The sequence below is a fragment of the Homo sapiens genome, chromosome 20 (assembly GCF_000001405.40).
Source record: "Homo sapiens chromosome 20, GRCh38.p14 Primary Assembly".
Classification (NCBI taxonomy): Eukaryota; Metazoa; Chordata; class Mammalia; order Primates; family Hominidae; genus Homo; species Homo sapiens.
The window spans coordinates 3,879,025-3,902,811 of NC_000020.11; the positions used below are offsets into that span (position 1 = coordinate 3,879,025).

Consider the following 23,787-nt stretch of genomic DNA (forward strand, 5'->3'; position numbering starts at 1 on the left):
CCTGTAATGTTTTCACTTATAAGTGGGAACCACTTTGGGAGGCCAAGGTGGGAGGATCGCTTGAGGCCAGGAGTTTGAGACCAGCCTGGGCAACATAGTGAGACCCTTGTCTCTAAAAAAAAAAAAAAAAAAAAAATTAGCTGGGCGTGGTGGTGCACACCTGTACCTCCAGGTACTTGGGAGGCTGAAGTGGGAGAATTGCTTGAACCCAGGGGTTTGAGGCTGCAGTAAGCTGTGACTGCACCACTGCACTCTTGCTTGGGTGACAGGGTGAGACCCCGTCTCAAAAACAAAACAAAAATAGAAAAATAATGTTTAAAAAGGTAAATAGCACCTGTGAAGAATTCTTTTAAAGAAATCAAACCTGGGCCAGGTGCGGTGGCTCATGCCTGTAATCCCAGCACTTTGGGAGGCTGAGGCAGGCGGATCACCTGAGGTCGGGAGTTCGAGATCAGCCTGGCCAACATGGAGAAACCCATCTGTAATAAAAATACAAAATTAGCCAGGTGTGGTGGTGCATGCCTGTAATCTCAGCTACTCAGGAGGCTGAGGCAGAAGAATCGCTTGAACCTGGGAGGCGGAAGTTGTGGTGAGCTGAGATTGTGCCATTGTACTTCGGCCTGAGCAACAAGAGTGAAACTCCACCTCAAAAAAAAAAAAAAAAGGCAAAGCAATCAAATATAATATGTTAATATGTTGATCTCATTTGGAAACTAAATTGATTTTTTAAAAAATTTACTTAAGAGACTGGGTCTTGGTATGTTGCCTAGGCTGGACTCAAACTCCTTGTGTCAATCAATCCTCTCGCCTCAGCCTCCACTACAGGCTTTAAGAAATTAGCTCTAAGTCCTTATGGTAGGAAAGCTGTAACTCAGGTTACTGGATCATGGAGAGGCCAGGATTAGGTGACCTGAAAAATGTGGGCTTGGTCTCCATCATGATTGTTTAATTAAGACTCTTGGTTCCAGCTGGGCACGGTGGCTCACGCCTGTAATCTCAGCACTTTGGGAGGCCGAGGCGGGTGGATCACAAGGTCAGGAGATCGAGACCATCCTGGCTAACACGGTGAAACCCTGTCTCTACTAAAAACAAACAAACAAACAAAAATTAGCTGGGCATGGTGGCGGGTGCCTGTAGTCCCAGCTACTCAGGAGGCTGAGGCAGGAGAATGGCATGAACCCAGGAGGCGGAGCTTGTATTGAGCCGAGATTGTGCCACTGCACTCCAGTTTGGGTGAAAGAGCAAGACTCCGTCTCAAAAAAAAAAAAAAAGACTCTTGGTTCCAAGTAACAGAAGACAATGTAAGCTAGATTAAAATATGGGGCGGGAGACTTAATAAACTTATTTTAATGTTGCGGGGGGAGACATATGGAACACAGACAGGAATGTATTCAGCCTAGGGAATGGATAGAAACAGGCAGGACTGGGAGAGCTGGCAAAGTGCTTTTTCTGTTCTGTTCATCTGTTCACTCTTGGAGCTCTGTGCAAACCTACTTTTTTTTTTTTTTGAGATGCAGTTTTGCACTGTCACCCAGGCTGGAGTGCAGCGGTGCGATCTCGGCTCATTTCAACCTTGGCCTCCTGGGTTCAGGCAATTCTCCTGCCTCAGCCTCCCGAGTAGCTCCCTCCACCATACCCAGCTAATTTTTGTATTTTTAGTAGAGATGGGGTTTTGCCATGTTGGCCAGGCTGGTTTCGAACTCCTGACCTCAGGTGATCTGTCTGCCTCGGCTTCCCAAAGTGCTGGGATTACAGGCGTGAGCCACTGCGCCCGGCCGCAAACCAATTTTTTCTGCTTCTTTGACCCCACGAGGAATGTGGCATCACACTTTGAGAAGTAAGTCTCTATTCCAAGGTGGTGGGGTTTAGGAGGTACAAACATGGCTGTTGGGGCCTAATCTATGATCTATAGGAGGAATGGTTGTAAGTTGGGTAGATGTCAAATATGTCCACTATGAAGATGTAGTTTTTTTTTTGAGACAGAATCTCGCTCTATCGCCCAGGCTGGAGTGCAGTAGCGTGATCTCGGCTCACTGCAACCTCCGTCTCCCAGGTTCAAGCAATTCTCTGCCTCAGCCTCCTGAGTAGCTGGGATTACAGGTGCCCCGCCGCCATGCCCGGCTAATTTTTTTTCGTATTTTTAGTAGAGACAGGGTTTCACCAAGTTGGCCAGGCTGGTCTTGAACTCCTGACCTTGTGATCCACCCACCTTGGCCTACCAATGTGCTGGGATTACAGACGTGAGCCACCACACCCGGACTGTTTTTTTTTTTGAAGATGGAGTCTCGCTCTGTCACCCAGGCTGAGTGTAGCGGCATGATCTCAGCTCAATGCAACCTCTGCCCAAGATATAGGTATTTTAAGGGATCCTAAACTTGGTATTGTCACTGCAATCATTCCTTAGCAAATGGTGTGTGTGCACTCACACTCTGAAAGGTACTGGGGGATGTAAAGATGCAAAGTCTTAATCTGATAGCTCTCATATCTAGTTGGGATTATACAACGTGTACACCAAGAATCTTAGGACCAGGAAGTACGAGAAATGCCACTGAGAGTGACATAAGGCTGGGCAAGGTGGCTCACACCATAATCCCAGCACTTTAGGAGGCTGAGGGGGGCGGATCACTTGAGCTCAGGAGTTTCAGACCAGCTTGGGCAACGTTGTAAAACCCTGCCTCTTCAAAAAATACAAAATTAGCCAGGTATAGTGGTGTGGACCTGCAGTCCCAGCTACTTGAGTGGCTGAGGTGGGAGGACTGCTTGAGCCGGGGAGGTGGAGGTTGTAGTGAGCCATGATTGCGTCACTGCACTCCACCTTGGGTGACTGAGCCAGACCCTGTCTCAAAAAAAAAAAAAAAAGGGCCAGGCATGGTGGCTCACGCCTGTAATCCCAGCACTTTGGGAGGCCGAGGCGGGCGGATCACGAGGTCAGGAGATCAAGACCATCCTGGCTAACACAGTGAAACCCCGTCTCTACTAAATATACAAAAAAAAGTTAGCCGGGCGTGGTGGCAGGCGCCTGTAGTCCCAGCTACTCGGGAGGCTGAGGCAGGAGAATGGCGTGAACCTGGGTGGCGGGGCTTGCAGTGAGCCGAGATCGTGCCACTGCACTCCAGCCTGGGCAACAGAGCAAGACTATGTCTCAAAAAAAAAAAAAAAATCAGGGTTGGCCGGGTGCAGAGGCTCATGCCTGTAATCCCAGCACTGTGGGAGGCTGAGGTGGGTGGATCACCTGAGGTTAGGAGTTCAAGACCAGACTGGTGAAACCCTGTTTCTACTAAAAAATACAAAAATTAGCCGGGTGTGGTGGCATGCACCTGTAGTCCCAGCTACTTGGGAGGCTGAGGCAGGAGAATCACTTGAACCCAGGAGATGGAGGATGGAGTGAGCTGAGATTGCGCCAGTGCACTCCAGCCTGGGCGATGGAGAGACAGACTCTGTCTCCAAAAAAAAAAAAAAAAAAAAAAAAAGATCAGGTTTACAGTGAACTGTGGTAATCAATGAAGACATTAAGGAGGAGGTATCATTTGGGCCATGCCATAGAAGTTGGATTGGATTTTGATAAGCAGAAATGTGGCGGGAAGGAATTTTATGTAGAGATGTAGAGATGCCCTTTGGGAGGCTGAGGCAGGCAGATCACCTGTGGTCGGGAGTTCAAGACCAGCCTGACCAACGTGGAGAAACCCCATCTCTACTAAAAATACAAAAATTAGCTGGGTGTGGTGGTGCATCCCTGTAATCCCAGCTACTTGGGAGGCTGAGGCAGGAGAATCGCTTGAACCCAGGAGGCAGAGGTTGCGGTGAGCTGAGATAGCACCATTGCATTCCAGCCTGGGCAACAAGAGCAAAACTCCGTTTCAAAAGAAAAAAAAAAAAAAGATGTAGAGATGAAGGATGAGCCAAAGCTGGGTAAGAATAAGGCTTATCTAGAGAATTGTGAGATTTGTTTTGTTAGAACAGTTATGCAAGCATAATAAAGCAATGAGAAAAAGTGGGAAGATGCTGGGCGCGGTGGCTCACGCCTGTAATCCCAGCACTTTGGGAGGCTGAGGCGGGCGGATCATGAGGTCAGGAGATCGAGACCATCCTGGCTAACACGGTGAAACCCCGTCTCTACTAAAAAAATACAAAAAATTAGCCCAGTGTGGTGGCAGGCGCCTGTAGTCCCAGCTACTCCGGAGGCTGAGGCAGGAGAATGGCATGAACCCGGGAGGTGGAGCTTGCAGTGAGCCGAGATTGTGCCACCGCACTCCAGCTTGGGTGACAGAGTGAGACTCCATCTCAAAAAAAAAAAAAAAAAAAAGAAAAAGAAAAAGTGGGAAGATACCAAATGGTGGAGCTCCTTGGATGTCAAGTTGTTTGAACTTCATTCTGTAGGCAAAGAAGCCACCATAACCTTTTTAACATAGGCGAGATTATAAACAGGAGAATGCTTTAATAAGATTACCCTGGGAGCTGTGGGCCTGGAGAGTAGAGACTAGAGGCAGAACAAACTCTTAGGAGGCCATTGAAATAAATTACTAATTAGAGCTTTCTGTTTGTGATAGCCACTAGACACCTGTGGCTATTTATTTTTTTCTTTTTTTTTTTTTTGAGACGGAGTCTTGCTCTGTCGCCCAGGCTGGAGTGCAGTGGCGCGATCTCGGCTCACTGCAAGCTCCGCCTCCTAGGTTCACGCCATTCTCCTGCCTCAGCCTCCCAAGCAGCTGGGTCTACAGGCGCCCGCCACCATGCCCGGCTAATTTTTTGTATTTTTAGTAGAGACGGGGTTTCACCATGTTAGCCAGGATGGTCTCGATCCCCTGACCTCGTGATCTGCCCGCCTCGGCCTCCCAAAGTGCTGGGATTACAGGCGTGAGCCACCGTGCCTGGTACTTGTGGCTATTGACTACTTGAAATGTGACTCGGTGAGAGTGAGATCCTTTTTTTTTTTTTGAGACAGTGTCTCGCTCTGTGGTCCAGGCTGAGTGCAGTGGTGCGATCTTGGTTCACTGCAACCTCCACCTCCCTGGTTCAGGCGATCCTCCCACCTCAGCCTCCTGAGTAGCTGGGACCACAGGCATGTGCCACCACGCCTGGCTAATTTTTGTATTTTTGTAGAGATGGGGTTTTGCCACATTGCCCAGGCTGGTCTCTAACTCCTGGACTCATGTGATCCGCCTGCCTTGGCCTCCCAAAGTGCTGGGATTAAGCAAGGGCCATCATGCCTGGTCCCGAGATCACGTCTCTTAAAAAACAAATAGGCTGTGTGCAGTGGCTCATCCCTGTAATTCCAGCACTTTGGGAGGCCAAGGTGGGTGGATCACCTGAGTTGGAGTTCGAGACCACCCTGGCCAACGTAGCAAAACTCCATCTCTACTAAAAGTACAAAAATTAGCCAGGCATGGTGGTGTGCGCCTGTACTCCCAGCTACTCGGGAGGCTCAGTAAGGAGAATCGCTTGAACCCAGGAGGTGGAGGTTGCAGTGAGCCGAGATAGTGCCATTGCACTCCAGCCTGGGCAACAGAGACTCCGTCTCAAAGAAAATAAATAAAATAAAATAAAGTAAAAGCACTAGACTATTAGTAGTTAAGAGCAAGTTAACAGTATCCAAATCAGGGCTATTTAGTCAAAGATAAGATAGACTTTGAGCTTGAAAACTAAGGGAAAATTTTCATCTCTTTCAATACTTGGGAAGGGACAGGATCTTCCATATTTAGGAAACTGAGTTGTCCTAAACTCACTGTATTTCATCTTGAATTTTCTCTATTTTCCTGAGACAAGTGGAAACTGTGAAAGCAGTCAATGCTGTTATATTGCCTGTGAGCTCCGTCGAGGCCACCAGAATGCCATATGCTAGCTATACTATGCGTACGTATGTGCGCATATAACACACATCTCTGCCCCTTTTCAGCAGTGGACTCTGGGATACAGGCCAGACCTTGGAAGAGTGTCTAGGGGCTTAAGAACTTCATGTTCTTCATAGCTTTGCCTTTTTTTTTTTTTTTTTAACCCCCTCATACCTTTGTCCTTTGAGAGAGACAGTTAAGTAGGTAAGGTCTTCCCAAGTCCTCACACCATTACACTCTGGCCAAAAGGCCTTGTGTTTGAAACAGGCCTGATCTACACCCCTCATGTCCTCGGCACCGACGAAACACGATGACATGAGAAAGAACTTGGTGTTTAAGCCTCTGTGCCTGGCAATCTTGTGATGTCTTTTTTTTTTTTTTTTTTGAGATGGAGTCTTGCTCTGTCACCCAGGCTCAAGTTCAGTGGTGCCATCTTGGCTCACTACAACGTCCGCCTCTGGTTTCAAGTGATTCTCCTGGCTCAGCCTCCTAAGTAGCTGGGATTAGAGGTGCCCGCCAACACACCAGGTTAATTTTTGTATTTTTAGTGAAGACAGGGTTTCACCATGTTGGCCAGGCATGTCTCGAACTCCTGACCTCAGGTGATCCGCCCACCTTGGCCTCCCAAAGTGTTGGGATTACAGGCGTGAGCCACTGTGCCTGGCCTTTGTGATGATATCTTAATTTTTACTGCTAATGATGCTCTACTTTAGCTGCAAGAAAGCTCAAGGGAAGTCTGCCTCCTGGCTCTTAGAGAGCAGGAACAGACGAAGACGTGAATCATTAGGGGGCAGAAGGCGGACTATGGGCTCCAAGATGGCCTCCAGAGATTCTCTTCCTCCTGATATTCATGTCCTTGTGTAGTACCAACCTACACTGAATAGGGATGACCTGTGTGATAACAGGATATTGCATAAATGATGGAGTATAACTTCCCAGCCTAGGTCATAAAAGACATTGCGATTTGTCGTTTTCTCATCCTTCACTAGCTCTAGGGAAGGCCTGCTGCCATGTTGAAAGGACACTCACGTAGTCCTATGAAAGCCTGCATTGTGAGCTGAGGCCTCCTGCCAACAGCCAGCACCAACTTGCCAGCCATATGAGCAAGCCACCTTGGAAGTGGATACCCCAACCCACTACACTTTCAGAGGACTGCAACCTCTTGAAAGATTCTGAACAAGAACCACCCAGCTTATCAATCCTGAATTCCTGACTCACAGAAACTGGGATAATACATACATACATACTACTGTTTAAGCTGAAGTTTTGGTGTTTTTACCTAGCGATAGGCCTCTAATGTGGTAGATGAATATTTTGTATGATGTTTTGTCATTGAAACGGCTCTCGATTTTCAAGTCATTCCTTTAGAATCTGGCTAGTTTCTCTGAAGCTCTATGCTTACCATTCTTGTACTTATTCTGGTGTATACAACCAGAAAGTTGGCTTCTCTCTAGGGGTAAATAACCGGAGAGTGATAAAGAACTTAGTTCTCACTATAATAACCACAGAGAAAGGATGCCTCTTGTTAGGTTCATTTTACTTTTTTTTTTTTTTTTGAGACGAGTCTTGCTCTGTCACCCAGGCTGGAGTGCAGTGGCGTGACCTTGGCTCACTGCAAGCTCTGCCTCCCAGGTTCATGCCATTCTCCTGCCTCAGCCTCCCGAGTAGCTGGGACTACAGGTGCCTGCCACCATGCCTGGCTAATTTTTTGTATTTTTAGTAGAGATGGGATTTCACCGTGTTAGCCAGGATGGTCTCGACCTCCTGACCTCGTGATCTGCCCACCTCGGCCTCCCAACGTGCTGGGATTACAGGCGTGAGCCACCGCGCCTGGCCTCATTTTTTTTGAAAAAAAATAAAAAATAAAAAATAAAAAAATCTAAGCTTAATCATAGATTTACCTTACTCTGCTCCAAGGCAATTTTTCAACTTTTTAAAAAATAAATGTTTTCTTTCAGTATAATACCCAAAAAAGTGCACAAAATGTCTTGATAACATATTACAAAGGGAACACACCCATGTAACCCCCACCCAGATCAAAGAAACAGAATATCATTAGCCATCTAGAAGCCCATTTGGTCATCTTCATTTTCTTTTTTTTTTTTTTTTTGAGGCAGAGTCCCACTCTGTTGCCCAGGCTGGAGTGCAGTGGTGCAATCTCAGCTCACTGCAACCTCTGCATCCCAGGTTCAAGCAGTTCTTCTGCCTCAGCTTCTGGAGTAAGTGGGATTACAGGCACGCACCACTACGCCCAGCTAAGTTTTGTATTTTTAGTAGAGACAGGGTTTCACCATGTTGGGCCAGGCTGGTCTGAAACTCCTGACCTCCAGTGATCCGCCCGCCTCAGCCTCCCAAAGTGCTTGGATTACAGGCATGAGCCACTGTGCCTGGCCTAATTTTTTTTATTTTTTATTTTTTGTAGAAGTGGTCTCGAACTTGTGGTGTGCCTTCTTATTTATTTATTCATTTTTTTTTAGAGACGGAGTCTCACTGTCTCCCAGGCTGGAGTGCAGTGGCACGATCTCGGCTCACTGCAACCTCCGCCTACCGGATTCAAGTGACTCTCCTGCCTCAGCCTCCCAAGTAGCTGGGATTACAGGTGCCCACCACCACGCCCAACTAATTTTTGTGTTTGTTTTTTTTAGTAGAGACGGGGTTTCCCTGTGTTGGCCAGGCTGGTCTCGGACTCCTGACCTTGTGATTCGCACGCCTCGGCCTCCCAAAGTGCTGGGATTACAGGAGTTGAGCCACTGCGCCCGGCCGCTTTCTTTTGGTTATCATAAGGCGGGCAGTAGCTGAACTTCTCAGGAGTCCAAGCTCTGTCATTCTTTAGGCTTTGTGCTTCTGGATAAGTTACCTCATCATCCAAATGTTACTGCAAGGACTAAGTGAGATGTAGAGGCAGTGGGCAAATTGTGTAAAAATACTACTGTTTCAAGTGTTTTGATGTTGGAGTTCATCTTGCCAGCCAAGGGATGATGATACTTTGATTCTTCAGGATGATCAGAGCTCAGACTTGGACGGAAGCTCCCTCAGGTCAAGGAGGACCACATTTTTTGGGGGGTGGAGAGAGGAGGCAGAAAGAGAGGCAATGTCAGGCACTGAGATTTAGAAGAGTAGCTATAGCTGTTTTTGGTTCTTGTAGATCCGTCTGTGTTGGCTTCCTACAGGAGCTAGAATTTTCAGAGCTAGTCCTACAGTGAGGGGAGCTAACGTGGAGTGGGCGTGAGAATTCTATTCAGCAAGCACAAGCGAAGCTCAACCTTTTTGTTCAGCCTGCTACAACCAATCATTATGGGAGAGGGGAATAAGGATCACTGCCCAAGGGGCATTAGGATCACTGCCCAGTGGGCATTACAGTCTCCCCAGGGAGGCACTCTTTTTTATTTTTTATTTTTTTTGAGACGGAGTTTCGCTCTTGTTGCACAATGTTGGGTCACTGCAGCCTCCGCCACCCGGGTTCAAGCAATTTTCCTGCCTCAGCTTCCCAAGTAGCTGGGATTATAGGCATGGGCCACCACGCCCCGCTAATACGGAGGCACTTTTAATTAGCCCACAGTCCAGTGAAATTTGACGGAGTGAGGAAGTGACCTCAGAGTACAGAACGGGATGGGATCCTTCCGGGCTTGGGCAGCCTTTGGTAGTGGGGATGCTTGGAAGGGTCAGGGTCTCAGTCCTGGAGGTGACCAATTTTTCTCTCCAAAAGAGAAAGGAAGATGATTAAAAAAAAAATCCATGCTCCAAAGCGGCAGCCAAATCCTTCTATGGCCCCCAATGCATCACCCAGAAAGGGGCTCCAGACTCTCCTGCAAAAGGCCAACTCTACTTCCCGGCTCCCACTTCCCCTCCTTCGCCACAGGAGGGTGGCGAAGGATTTATAACCCACCTCTTTCTTTCAGTTGCCATGGAGACAAGCCCCAGTCCTTTCATTCCTTCTGGTACCTCTCTCTCCAACGCAGGCGGAAAGGAGGCGGCTTAGCCCAAACATGCTGGGGGAGGGGCTGGCGGCCTCGACGGCAGCTGCGGAACTAGGCCGAGGGACAAAGGCTAAGGTCAGCCGCGGTTCAAGCCCTTTCGTCTGCCGACGACCAGCGGCCAGACGCTGCGGGAGCACTGCTGGGCTGGAGGAGGGCTCGAGCTGCGAGGACGGCACGGAGCAGCGGGGTGGGACTCGGGGTCGCCCCAGGAGAGTTCCGCGGCCCGGGGGGGCAGAGGCATGCACAAGTGGGGGGCGGAAGGAGGGGGTGGATGAGGAGGCTCGGGCCCTTCCACCCACGCGTCCATTGGGCGGCGCCGCCATCACTCTCTTCTGGGCTACACCGCCTTCTCTTCCTCCGCGGAACCCGGATCCCCTCCTCCACCACCCTCTCCCCGCCCCGTCACGATAGCCTCTCATTGGACGGAGGCACGGTCAATCCTCCTCGAGTTAGGGAGCCGACTGGACGCGAGGCCTTTGGGCCGTCCCCAGCCTCGTCGGATTGGCTTCCTGCGCGTTGGCGCAACGGAAGAGGCGGCCGGCCGAGGGCGCGCCTCTGCTCTGGCTGGACTGCCGCGGAGGAGGCGAGAAGGAATCCGACGCTGGGGGGCTTGCTCGGGCGGCAGCGACTGCTGCTGCGGATGGGAGGGGGCCGGCTCGGCGCGCCCATGGAGCGCCACGGCAGGGCTTCCGCCACCTCCGTCTCGTCGGCTGGGGAGCAGGCGGCCGGGGACCCCGAAGGGCGGCGGCAGGAGCCACTGCGGCGCCGGGCGAGCAGCGCGTCGGTGCCCGCGGTCGGGGCCTCGGCTGAGGGCACGAGGCGGGATCGACTGGGCTCTTACAGCGGCCCCACCTCGGTCTCCCGCCAGCGCGTCGAAAGCCTGAGGAAAAAGCGGCCGCGTAAGTGTTCCGTGGGGCGCCCTCCCGGCCCGCCCTGCCCCCCCTTCCGGCCCACCCTGTCCCCTTCCGGCCCCGCCGCCGTTTTTCCCGCGCGCGGACACTGTCCCCGCACGGTGGTCCCTCGTTGGTGCGTGGCCTGACATCCGGCTGGAGGCCTCGGGTGCTCCGAAAGCGGTACCTTCGGGGGCCCCCCCGCACCCATTGGTATGCACTTCCCGCTTGTTGGAGTGGAGGGCTTTTCCCCAGGACCTGTCCTCCCTTTTCTTAGCTCCTTGGGCATTCTCTTCCTGAGGGTCACATGATTTTATCCTCGAGAAGGCTTCTTTTGACTCATTTCCACCTCCTTTCCTCCCAAATCCTTTGAATCCCCAATGTTTGTTTTCCGTGGGTTTCCAAAGAGCTGCTCTCTAATACTTTAAGTCCCTTTTATTCGTCAATTTCGGGCTTACTGGAAAATGGTGAACTGCCCCTTGAGTTGCACCAGGCCTGAAACTGTATTCCGTGCACCTCTAAGGTGGCTGCCCTTCTTCTCGTGAGAATCCAGGTCATCTCTCACCCACATATCCCCTCCGTTTTCCTTCTGTCTATTTGCAGGTACTCACGATTCAGAACTGTGGCATTCTGGGCATTAAGGCTCTTTGTTTTGAGGGGAAACAACATCTTTCTGAATTTTGCCTTGGGAGTTGCATACGCTCCTCCCAGAGAATCCGTTTCCCCATTTTATTAGGTTTCTTTTTCTGTGTTGTGTATTTTCTCCCCTTTACAAGTCTTCAATTCAGGACCGCTGCCTGGCAGCCATTGCTGCTGTTGAAAGTATCAATTGTCCTGATACTGTAATATGAGCTTTACAGTGTGATGCCATTTTACATATGGTTGGACTTTTTGGTGGGTGTTGCCAGATTCCTATTTCAGGAAATTGACTTGTTTAAATGCAGATTGTGAGAGGGAGGGAAAATGGCAAGATGTGAGATTTTTATTGAATAGTCTTCTACCTTAGCCCAGTCACCCAACTGCTTTTTTGAATCTTCTCTGATATGGATGATTAAATGTAGTTCTATTTTGCTGTGAAAAGTTTGGGAGTTTTCAGTTCTTTTGTCTTTTTCCATCTTCTTGCAACAGATTTGGAAAACAGATTCTTAACCTGTGCCATTTTCAGAGTCAGTCACCTAGTTTTGTTTTATTTGAGAAGCACCTGAGTTTGAAGCAATGCAAAATATGAGATCCTTCATGGTTTTGTATTACATCGTTGGAAATGGATGTAAATTCCAAAGATTCAGCAAATAAGAGTATAGCCATTAGCCACAAGGGTTTTTTTGGTTTGTTTTTTGTTTTTTACTTTGAGACAGCGTCTTGTTCTGTTGCCCAGGCTGAAGTGCAGTGGCATGATCATGGCTCATTGTGGCCTTAACCTCCTGGGCTCAAGCCATCCTCCTGCTTCAACCTCCTGCATTGCTGGGACTAAAGGCACGTGCCACTATGCCAGGCTAATTTTTCAATTTTTATTTTTTTAAATAGAGATGGGATCTCTTATGTTGCCCAGGCTGGTCTTGAATTCCTCCTGGTCTCAAGCGATCTTCCCACTTCGGCCTCCCAAAGTGCTGGGATATAGACGGGAGCCATTGTGCCCGACCTGGCAGTCGTCTACTAAGAGCTTTGGTAACTCATTAGCCTCGTGGCTCTGAGGTAGGTGGTAGTATTCCATTTTACAGATGAGAAAACTGGGACACGTTTGCCCGGTCAAATGGCTAGTGCGTTGTGAAATAGAAATGTAAACTCAGAATTGCTAGCTTCATAGCTTTTGCGGTGGACCACTGTGTTTTTCTGAATTATTTACGTTCTGTTAGTTATTTCTTCATTGCTCTAAGACCAAGCATAAGTTTGATCTTTTGTGTTCAAGACTGACTTACTTGAGGCGAAAATTTTTAGATACTGTGGAAGTACTTCCAAATATTGAGCATGAGAATGACCTGGTAAAAGTGCAGATTCAGTGGGCCCAGTTAAGCTCCTCATATTCAAATACAGGTGACTCAAAGACCACACTCAGAAAAACCGGTTTACACTGGGTGGGGAGAATTATATTAAGGTAGTTTTGAAACTTATTTTAGGGAACTAAGTAGACACATATTCATGCTATAGGATTTATATTTTGTTTTGATGTTTGATGTTTGTCGTGATTCCCTTCATTATCTTCTCTGGCTGATAAATCATGAAAACCCATCTTTCCAGTATAAGACCTGCTAAAGGAATGAACAGGATACTGATTGTTCTTCCTTCCATTTGTTTCTTCTGTACTATCTAGGGGTGCCCCTGTTAGGTGGAGAAGCAGGCTGGGCGCAGTGGCTCATGCCTGTAATCCCAGCACTTTGGGAGGCCAAGGCGGGTGGATCACCTGAGGTCAGGAGTTCGAGACCAGAGACCAGCCTGGCCAGCATGTTGAAACCCCGTCTCTACTAAAAAATACAAAAATTAGCTGGGCGTGGTGGTGCATGCCTGTAATCCCAGCTACTCAGGAGGCTGAGGTGGGAGAAACATTTGAACCTGGGAGGTGGAGGTTGCAGTGAGCCGAAATTGTGCCAGTGCACTGCAGCCTGTATGATACAGTGAGACTCCTCAAAAAAAAAACAAAAAAAAAGGAGAAGCAGCTTGTTGACTGCCGAACCCTCCTAGAGTATACTTCAGTCTTATCTCTGAGAGAATTCAACTAAGACTAAATCTTTTTTATTTATTGTTGGGAGGTTTGGGTATGGAATGGTGCCACCTTTCTGGTGAAACCCTATCTCTACTAAAAATACAAAAAAATTAGCCGGGTGTGGTGACGCGTGCCCGTAGTCGCAGCTACTCGGGAGGCTGAGGCAGATAATTGCTTGAACCCGGGAGGCAGAGGTTGCAGTGATCGAAGATCGCGCCACTGCACTCCAGCCTGGGCGACAGAGCGACTCTGTCTCAAAAAAAAAAAAAAAAAAGCCTTACTCTGATACCGCACTACTTGTCTAAAGGTGCAGATAGATACTAGTTGTCATTTGAAAGTCGAAGGAGCTATTCAGGTTATCTTAGGCATTCTTGTGGTCCTGGTTGTAGTCGTGTTCTGTCACGCGTTTCCTAGAGCAGTGTAGTTCCCAAACCGGCCCTTGTCCCAGACTTACTGCATCAGAATCCCTAGCGATGAGGCTAGGCATGTGTATATTTAAGTTCTTCAAAAGTTTTGCATCAGGTGGGGAGGGGGGTATGTCTCGCAGGGCTGAAAGAAATACCAAATAAAGATTGATTTTAAAATGATGGAAACCAAGACGCTAATGATGGTAATGTAGCTACCATTTTCTGAGTGCTTATTTGTCTTGGACACTATGCCGAGTATTTTATAAGCATCTTGGTTAAGTCTCATAGCTATCCTGTGAGGTAGGTGTTTTTTATCCCCAATTTCCAGATGAGAAAACAGGCTCAGTGAAATTGTCCTTTTGTCCAAGGCCATATAGTGAGTTAGTGATGGAGTTGGGTTTTGATTCCTGGTGTCTTGACTTCAGATCCAGTGTTCTTGGTCCACATTTTGGGGTGGGGGAAGGTATGTGTGATGTAATCCAGAGCTGTGGTTCTCAAGTTTTTAAAACTTTCCCTCAACCTACCATTGCATGATATAGGTCTGCAAAGGGGTCTAAAATTATATTTTAAATTTTATTGAGGCATAATTAAATAGAGTAAAATGTACAATTTTGGCAAATGTAGACACTCATGTAACAAGAGAACATACATTTTTATCAAGGGCTCCAGGTGTTGAGCATATGTGCAGCAGGTGTGCAGAAGGTGTGGAAGCCCTGTGATCAGAGTGCTCCACAGTAGTGTGGACAACAAACTTATCCTTTGAAGATGACTCGCAAGGCATGTTGTAGCATGCCAGGGAGACCTTTGGGGCTTGTTGATTTTGGACTCCTACAAATCTAACCTTCATAATACAGTTTTTGTTTGTAGCTTGACAACACTAGCCTAGAAAATGGATCATTTTTTCTTGGCTTTCCGAGGAGCGTTGCTGTTGGCAGTATGGAACTGGAGCCGGGGCCCTGTTAGGCTGCCTTTATTAGGCTCAGCATTTCAGCTTCAGGGAATTAGGACGGATTGACCCCTGGGAGCTGAGGAAAAATGTTAGATTGCTATAGCTTTGTGGCCCATTGGGAGAGGCAAGATGGGAGTTTTTTTTTTGTTTGTTTTTTGTTTTTTTTTTTTTTTTTTTAGAGGAGTTTCACTCTTGTTGCCCAGGCCAGAGTGCAGTGGTGCAATCTTGGCTCACTGCAACCTCTGCTTCCTGGGTTCAAGCAATTCTCCTGCCTCAGACTCGCAAGTAGCTGGGATTACAGGCATGTACCACCATGGCCAACTAATTTTTTGTGTTTAGTAGAGATGGGATTTCACCATGTTGGTCAGGCTGGTCTTGAGCTCCTGACCTCAGGTGATCCATTTGCCTCAGCCTCCCAAAGTGCTGGGATTACAGGTGTGAGCCACCGTGCCTGACCGAAAAGATGTTGTTTGTTTGTTTGTTTTTGAGACAGTTTCACTCTTGTTGCCCAGGCTGGAGTGCAATGGCGTGATCTCGGCTCACCACAACCTCCACCTCCCAGGTTCAAGTGATTCTCCTGCCTTAGCCTCCCGAATAGCTGGGATTACAGGCATGCGCTACCACGCCTGGCTAATTTTGTATTTTTAGTAGAGACAAGGTTTCTCCATGTTGGTCAGGCTGGTCTTGAGCTCTGGACCTCCGGTGATCTGCCCACCTCAGCCTCCCAAAGTGCTGGGATTACAGGTGTGAGCCACCGCACCTGGCCTGAAGGTGTTTTTTAACCTATTGATTTATCAACTTTTTATTTATTTATTTATTTATTGAGACGAAGTCTTACTCTGTCGCCCAGGCTGGAGTGCAGTGGCAGGATTTTGGCTCACTGCAACCTCTGTCTCCCAGGTTCAAGTGATTCTCCTGCCTCAGCCTCCTGAGTAGCTGGGACTACAGGTGTGTGCCACCGTGCCTGGCCAGTTTATCAACTTTAAGTGGAACCAAAGTAAATACAGCCTGTCTTCTTAGATATATAATAAATACTAAGCAATAAGCAGGGACTAAAAATCGTCCCCTTATGCAGCTGTGTAAAATGGTACAGTATATTACTTTAGGGGCCATGTGTAAGAATCATGCAGTTGGATAATATGGTTGTTTAGTGTTGGTGTCCCTGCCTTCTATCTGGGGAGACCATAGCAGGAAGAGATGTATGTTGTTAAAAATATTTTGCTGACTGTGTATGCTGGCTCATTTCTGTAATCCTAGCACTGTAGGAGGCTGAGGTGGGAAGATCACTTGAGACCACGAGTTCAAGACCAGCTTGGGCAACATAGCCAGACCTCGTCTCTCCAAAAATAAAAAGGGCATGCATGGTGGCTCACACCTGTAATCCCAGCTACTCAGGACGCTGAGGCAGGAGAATCACTCGAACCCAGGAGGTGGAAGTTGCAGTGAGCCGAGATTGCGCCACTGCACTCCAGCCTGGGAGACAGGGCGAGACTCCATCTCAAATAAAATAAATAAATAAATAAATAAATAATAATAAACAAATTAGCAGAATGTCGTGGCACATGGTCGTAGTCCCAGCTACTTGGGAGGCTGAGACAGGAGGATTGCTTGAGCCCGGAGGATTGCTTGAGCCCGGAAGATTGAGGTTGCACTGAGCTATGATCATGCCACTGCACTCGAGCCTGGGCGACAGAGGGAGACCCTGTCTCCGTTTTTTTTTTTTTCTTTTTTTTTTTCTCAAAACATTTCAAAAAATAGGAGGAGGAAGATAGACTAGGCTATTGTAGAGCATCAGGCAATGAAAAGAATGGCTATTTTGATTATTTAAAAGAGCGGTGATGTTTTTTGGACTTAAAGTTTGTAGCCTTGTGAGCTTTTCTCAGGTTCATAATTTGGGGTATCTTCAGGCACTGTTCAGGTAAGACTGACTGGGATGTGAAAACTTTTCTAAATTGCGGCTTAAAGTTTGCTTTCTAAAAATGAAACCCATCTCAGTTTTTTAGTAGTTCGTTACATTTTGTGTGTTTATATTTCCTGAATGTAGAATTTGTTGTTGAATTTGCTGATTTTACGGTATGTGGTCTTTTATAAGTATCTAGTCCCTGAGTTTAAAACTATTTTGGGAATAAGAATAATTATTAAAGTACCTCTTTCAATGTTAGGCCAAGATATTGCTTTCCTAGAACAGCCTAGACATGGATTTGCGATGTCATTAACCATCTGTGGTCTGGTAAAAGTGTAGTTCATAATATTGGAAAATTGAGCACACTTTTAAAAGTAAACTGTGTGTTTCTTTTTTTTTTTTTGAGACGGAGTCTTGCTCTGTCGCCCAGGCTGGAGTGCAGTGGTGCGATCTTGGCTCACTGCAAGCTCCTTCTCCTGGGTTCATGCCCTTTCTCTTGGCTCAGCCTCCTGAGTAGCTGGGACTACAGGTGCCCGCCACCACGCCTGGCTAATTTTTTTTTTTTTTTTTTTTTTGTATTTTTAGTAGAGACGGGGTTTCACCATGTTAGCCAGGATGGTCTCTATCTCCTGACCTCGTGATCCGCCTGCCTTGGCCTCCCGAAGTGCTGGGATTACAAGCGTGAGCCACCATGCCCAGCCTACTGAACTATGTATTTCCCATTGGAAAGTGTGATGTTGTGAAATATATATATTGGTCTTTTGCCCATTTCCTGGCATACAACTCCTGAAATCCTTAGAAACTCCACAGTGATGTCCTTTTGTGTGCTAAGGAGTTAACTGATGGCTGGAAGCCTCTGGACTTAGTCATGGAAAGAACAAGACAGGATTAGAGGGTTGGGACTTTCACTCCTCTCCAGCCTCTGGGGAGGGGTGGGGGCTTGAAGGTTAAGTTGATCACCAGTGGACAGTGATTTAATCAATTATACCTACTAATGAAGCCTCCATTAAAAACCCAGGAGGACAGGGTTTGGAGAGCTTCTGGATGGCCAAACAAGAGGTTCCAGGAGGGTGCAGTGCCCGAGAGCACAGAAGTTCCGTGTCCCTCCCCTATACTGTGTACTATGCGTCTCTTCCTCTGAATCTTTTGAAATATCTTTATAATAAACCAGTAAATGTGTTTCTTAGGTTCTGTGATCCAGTCTAGCAAATTAATCCAAACCAAAGAGGGGTCATGCAAACTCCAACTTGAAGCCAGTTGATCAGAAGTTCTGGAGGCCCAGATTGGCAACTGGTGTCTGGCAGAGGTGTGGTGGAGGAGCAGTCTTGAGGGACTTAGCCCTCGACCTGTGGCATATGATGCTATCTCCAGGTACATAGTCGTTGGAATTGCATTGGAGGGCACCCAGCTGGTGAGTGCTGCAGAATTGGTTACTTGCTTTGTGTGTGGGCTCACAGAAGTCTTCTGTGTTGATCGTTGCTGTGGTGTGAGAGCAGAGGAAAAACTTTGTTTTTCCACACTCTTAAAGGATTTCAGTCGTTGAGACCTATTATGGGACCTTGTGCTTTGCATACGTTTTGAAATGTGGCCTAAGTCAAGTATAGGTTGTCTAGACTGAGTACCTTGGAGGTCTTAATATCAGGAAATATGTTAAGGGCTGTGAATAGACTGAAATATCTGAAAATTAATGGCCAGGACTCACTAACTAGAAGGCAGGGGCCTTCTCTTATCAGTGAGCTCTAGGCTGGATGTGTTAGCTCACGTCTGTAATCTCAGTACTTTGGGAGGCTGAGGCGGGTGGATCGCTTGAGCTTAGGAGTTTGAGACCAGTCCGGGCAACATGGTGAAACCTCGTCTCTACAAAAAATTAGCTGGTTGTGGTGGCCTGCACCTGTAGTCCAGCTACTTGGGAGGCTGAGGTGGGAGGATCACTTGAGCCAGGGAGGTTGAGGCTGCAGTGAGCCTGAACCTGGTGATTGTACCACTGTACTCTAGCCTGGATGACAGAGTGAGACTGTGTCTCTCAAAAAAACAAAAACGAAAACAAAACCTGGGTGCAGTGGCTCACGCCTATAATCCTAGCACTTTGGGAGGCCGAGGTGGGCGAATTAGTTGAGGTTACGAGTTCAAGACCAGCTTGGTCAACATGGTGAAACTGTCTCTACTAAAAATATGAAAACTAGCTGGGCATGGTGGTACGAGCCTGTAATCCCAGCTACTCGGGAGGCTGAGGCAGGAGAATCGCTTGAACAACTGGGAGGCGGAGGTTGCAGTGAGCTGAGGTCTGTCGCTGCACTCCATCTGAGCAACAGAGCGAGACTCCATCTCAAAAAAAAAAACCTCTTGGTTTTAATTGGTTATATTGGATTTTGTTTTTTGGAATCTGTTGAGATAATCATGATTTTTTTCCCTTCATCTTACTAATTGGAATTTCTAATGTAAAAGCCATTGCTGCATTACTGAGAAGAATCTCTTTTGGCTATGGCCTATTAATTTTACTGTACAACTAGATTCCATTTTTTATTTTATTATTTATTTATTTTGAGATGGAGTCTTTCTGTCACCCAGGCTAGAGTGCAGTGGCACGATCTTGGCTAACTGCAGTCTCTGCCTCCCGGGTTCAAGCAATTCTCCTGCCTCAGCCTCCTGATTATCTGGGATTACAGGCGCCCACCACCATGCCTGACTAATTTTTGTATTTTTAGTAGAGATGGGGTTTTACCATGTCGGCCAGACTGGTCTCGAACTCCTGACCTCAGGTCATCCACTCGCCTCGGCCTCCCAAAATGCTGGGATTATAGGCATGAGCTGCCTCGCCCTTAGGCTTTCTTGCTGAGTATATTTAATAAATATGTAAGGCTAGATGTTTCCGTTTAAGTACTACTTTGGGTATATCCTATTGGTTTCTATATATTGTATTCTCACTGTCATTCATTTAAAAATAAATTTTGTTTTGATTTCCTTTTTAATCCCAGAGTTAATAGTTTAAAAATTTCAAAGTAGATAGATTTATTTCTTTGTTTGTTGGATTAATTTCTAATTTTGAAGTTTTGCAGTAAGTGAATGTGACTTGTTCTTTGGAATTTGAAGTTCTTTAAGCTAGTGCAGTTAATTTTTGTGAGTGCTTTATGGGTTTTTAAAGGAATGTTTGCATGGTTTTGTTTGTTTTGGGAAACAGTCTTGCTGGTCTTGAGTGTTTTTTTTTGTTTGTTTGTTTTGGGAAACAGACTTGCTGTTGTCTAGGCTGGAGTGCAGTGGTGCGACCTCGGCTCACTGCACCCTCTGCCTCCCGGGTTCAAGTGATTCTCCTGCCTTAGCCTCCCGAGTAGCTGGAATTACAGGTGCCCACCACTGCACCTGGCTAATTTTTTATATTTTTAGTAGAGACGGGGTTTCACCATCTTGGCCAGGCTGGTCTCAAACTCCTGACCCCGTGATCCACCTGCCTCGGCCTCCCAAAGTGCTGGGATTACAGGCGTGAGCCACCGTGCCCAGCCGGGTTTTTTTTTTTTTGAGATGGAGTCTCGCTCTGTCATCCAGGCTGGAGTGCAGTGATGTAGTGTAGGCTCACTGCAACCTCCACCTCCTGGGTTCAAGTGATTCTGCTACCTCAGGCTCCCAAGTAGCTGGGATTACAGGCATGTGCCACCATGCCCGGCTAATTTTTTGTATTTATTGGAGACGGGGCTTCACCATGTTAGTCAGGCTGGTCTCGAACTCCTAACCTCTGGTGGTCCACCCATCTTGGCCTCCCAGAGTGCTGGGATTACAGATGTGAGCCATTACATCCGGCTGTTTTTTTTTTTTTTCCCCAGAGTTCTATTTGTGTTTACTAGATCCACCTTATTAGCCATGATATTAAAATTCTCTTTCTACCATAATTTTGTAGGTGTGTGTGCAATCTACAAATTCCTGAGGTCTGTGTCATTCTCATACTGACTTGTAGATGTGTCAGTTTCTCTGTTAGTGTTTTCGAAGTATGTGTTATGTGCATAAGGAACATGGCTATTACATTCATCAGTTGTACTTTTTTTTTTTTTTTTTTTTTTGAGATGGAGTCTCGCTCTGTTGCCCAGGCTGGAATGCAGTGCTGCGATCTTGGCTCACTGCAAGCTCCGCCTCCCGGCTTCACACCATTCTCCTGCCTCAGCCTCCCAAGTAGCTGGGACCACAGGCACCTGCCACCATGCCCGGCTAATGTTTTGTATTTTTAGTAGAGACGGGGTTTCACCATTCACAGGATGGTCTCGATCTCCTGACCTCGTGATCCGCCTGCCTCGGCCTCCCAATGTGCTGGGATTACAGGCGTGAGCCACTGTGCCTGGCCCATCAGTTGTACTTTTTATGCACATGAGAGAGTTTTTTTTTTGTCCCTTCTTAATGCTTTTTTGTTTGTGTTGTTTGGTCTGCTAGTATTGTATCTGCTTGCTGTTAACATTTGCTTGATACAGTGGAGTAGCATTCTCCAGGCATTTATTTTAGTCATTTAAATTCAAGTGTATAAATTCAGCAAGTGAGTTAAGTGAATGGTGCCAGCGATTCTACCCAGTGTTTCCGTCAGTAACTATATGATTATGAGTGAGTATAGGGATGAGAATGGTGACTCTCCTTTCCCCTGTAGGGAAAGGAAGGGGCGTGATTGTCTGGAGGGGCACCTCTTGTAATGTGAGCATAGCTCTTTGCCAAATGAAACACTGGTCTTGAAACAAGGTATGACCTTTACTGTACTATGGCTCTTAAATGTAAATCAGCTGCTCTATCTAGTATTCATCTCTAGTGAGGTGCTTAAGAGTGCTTAACATTTTTATAATGTGTAATACTTTTGACTAAATGCCATTTTCATCTTTCAAAGCATTCAACTCCTCCTCATGGTGTGACTCCATTGTGGGTGATTTACCATTTTTCCTTCAGTTTACTTGTATAATCTTGTTTGAGGTATCTTTTTACATCAACATATACTTGAATTTCTCCTTTTCTCTCCTAATTCCTGGTTAAGCTCACAGAATTTCCTCTTCAGTCTAGAAGAGAAATTTGACCTATTTGTGATTACTGATAAGTGCAGTCATTCCCATCATTTATTTATTTATTAAATTATTTTTAAGTTTTTTTTGAGATGAAGTCTTGCTCTGTCGCCTAGGCTGGAATGCAGTGGTGCGATCTTGGCTCACTGCAACCTCTGCCTCCTGGGTTCAAGCGATTCTCCTGTCTCAGCCTACCGAGTAGCTGGGGTTACAGGTGTGCACCACCACACCTGGCTAATTTTTCTATTTTTAGTAGAGATGGGGGTTTCACGATGTTGGCCAGGCTGGTCTCGAACTCATGACCTCAAGTGATCCACCTGCCTTGGCCTCCCAGAGTGCTGGGATTACAGGCTTTATTATTTATTTATTTATTTATTTAAGAGGTAGGATCTTGCTCTGCTGCCAGGCTGGAGTACAGTGGCTGTATCACAGCTCACTAGCCTCAAACTCTTGGGCTCAAGCGATCTTCCTGCCTCAGCCCCTGGAGTAGCTGGGACTACAGGTGCACGTGATCATACCTAAATTTTTTTTTAGAGATGTGGTCTTGCTGTGTTGTCCAGGCTGGTCTCCCAACTCCTGGCCTCAAGTGATCCACCCACCTTGGCCTCTCAAAGTGTTGGAATTACAGGCATGAGCCACCACACCTGGCTGTTTTGTATTTACTGTACTTTTCCCCATTTCTTGTCAATCAGCTTTTTTGAACTGATTGCTTTATTTTTTTTCTAATGTGAAAGTCATTTTTTTTTTCTCCTCTGGAGTTACCTCTAAATTTTGACACATTTAAACTATCACTTCTATATTCTTGTGTAGAATTAATCAGAATCTATCTTTTCTTCCCTTTTCCAACAAGACAGAACTGCTGCTTGCTTTCATTTCCTTCTCCCTTCTCTTCCCTCTTCAACTTCCTATGTCGAAATCATGTAAGTATTTTAGTTTCAGATTGCTTATTTTTGTAAAAGTCAGTACTTTTGTTTATTTCTTAAAGCTCTTGGATTAAAAAAAAGTTTCTTAAAGCTCTTGGATGTTTTAAAATTATGGCATTCATCTACCAATTATGTTAGAGAAGGTCTTTGAAAAGTAAAGTTGATCCCTTACATATGTGAAAATTGTTTTTGCACTCCCGCTTGAAAGCTTATTTGGTTGGCTGGATATAAGTTTCAAAATCATTTTCCTTATAACTTTGAAGCCAGTGCTCCGTTGTCTTCTGGCATCTGTGCTGCTGATGAAAAGTCTGATACTGACTTTTATGTGATTTATGTATCTTTATAGGAATTCAGTTTTTTCCTTATGATATCTTGAAATTTCAATAGGATGTGTCTAAGTTGTCTTCCCCTTCTCTGCTGACCGATAAACACTGTTCAGCCCTTAGAGTAACCTGATGATTGGTGTCTTCCCTTTCCCCAAGGAAATTTCTGGAACTAACATAAGATGTTGGTCCTTCTGGTTCTATATTCTCTCCCTCTCTCTTTTTTTTTTTTTTTTAGTTAGAGACAGAGTCTCAGTCTGTTACCCAGGCTGGAGTGCGGTGGCATGGTCATAGCTTGCTACGACCTTGACCTCCTGGGCTCAAGCTATCCTCTCACTTCAGCCTCTCAAGTAGCTGTGACTACAGGTGTGCGCCTGGCTAATTTTTTATTTATTTTTTATTTTTGAGACGGAATCTCACTCTGTGGCCAGACTGTAGTACAGTGGGACAATCTTGGCTCACTGCGACTTCCACCTCCCAGGTTCAAGCGATTTCCAGCCAATTTTTGTATTTTTAGTAGAGGTGGGGTTTCATCATGTTGGCCTGGCTGGTCTCGAACTCCTGACCTCAAGCGATCCACCCACCTCGGCCTCCTAAAGTGCTAGGATTACAAGCATGAGCCACCGCACCTGGCCTAGTTTTTTTTTTTTCTTTTAAAGTAGAGATGGGGTCTGGCTGTGTTGTCCTGGCTGATCTTGGACTCCTGGCTTCAAGTGATCCTCCCATCTCGGCCTCCCAAAATGCTAGGATTACAGGTGTGAGTCACTGCACCCAGCCAGGTTCCATTTTCTCTATATTGACTATATTGACCTTTCTTTCATACTTGAAAAGCATTTGGGGATAATCTTTTAATTTTGTTTTCTATTTG

The 23,787-nt window shown here is 46.6% G+C and overlaps 1 protein-coding gene and 1 long non-coding RNA gene across 9 annotated transcripts in view, besides 5 other annotated features; one reads left to right on the forward strand and one right to left on the reverse strand.

Annotated features, from left to right (window-relative positions):
- On the reverse strand, positions 7,345-10,149 carry PANK2-AS1 (PANK2 antisense RNA 1). Its single transcript, XR_001754478.3, has 2 exons — positions 9,715-10,149; positions 7,345-9,525 (listed from the first exon to the last, which is right to left on the reverse strand). It is a non-coding gene; the product is annotated as a PANK2 antisense RNA 1 (long non-coding RNA).
- Positions 9,438-9,989: an enhancer, noted in NCBI's record as "H3K27ac hESC enhancer chr20:3869109-3869660 (GRCh37/hg19 assembly coordinates)". NCBI's record gives its function as "activates a minimal SCP1, AML or CMV promoter by ChIP-STARR-seq in naive H9 embryonic stem cells {active_cell/tissue: H9 hESC(naive)}" and the evidence as "EXISTENCE:reporter gene assay evidence [ECO:0000049][PMID:30033119]".
- Positions 9,757-23,787, forward strand: part of PANK2 (pantothenate kinase 2) — a 41,107-nt gene continuing 27,076 nt past the window's right edge. For 2 of the 8 annotated variants that reach the window (NR_136715.2, NM_001386393.1), the window contains exon 1: positions 10,363-10,704. Coding sequence is in view for 3 of the 8 variants with exons in the window: in NM_001386393.1 (NP_001373322.1) it covers positions 10,407-10,704 (298 nt within the window). In the remaining 5 variants the exon portion in view is untranslated. The other 6 variants (NM_153640.4, NM_001324193.2, NM_001324191.2 and 3 more) reach the window with 5 other exon arrangements.
- Positions 9,998-10,057: a silencer, noted in NCBI's record as "silent region_12634". NCBI's record gives its function as "represses an Ori minimal core promoter by ATAC-STARR-seq in GM12878 lymphoblastoid cells {active_cell/tissue: GM12878}" and the evidence as "EXISTENCE:reporter gene assay evidence [ECO:0000049][PMID:35858748]".
- Positions 10,248-10,747: a silencer, noted in NCBI's record as "silent region_12635". NCBI's record gives its function as "represses an Ori minimal core promoter by ATAC-STARR-seq in GM12878 lymphoblastoid cells {active_cell/tissue: GM12878}" and the evidence as "EXISTENCE:reporter gene assay evidence [ECO:0000049][PMID:35858748]".
- Positions 17,278-17,572: a silencer, noted in NCBI's record as "tiled region #6416; HepG2 Repressive non-DNase unmatched - State 14:Gen5', and K562 Repressive non-DNase unmatched - State 14:Gen5'". NCBI's record gives its function as "represses a minimal TATA promoter and a strong SV40 promoter by Sharpr-MPRA in HepG2 and K562 cells {active_cell/tissue: HepG2 | K562}" and the evidence as "EXISTENCE:reporter gene assay evidence [ECO:0000049][PMID:27701403]".
- Positions 18,589-18,818: an enhancer, noted in NCBI's record as "active region_17488". NCBI's record gives its function as "activates an Ori minimal core promoter by ATAC-STARR-seq in GM12878 lymphoblastoid cells {active_cell/tissue: GM12878}" and the evidence as "EXISTENCE:reporter gene assay evidence [ECO:0000049][PMID:35858748]".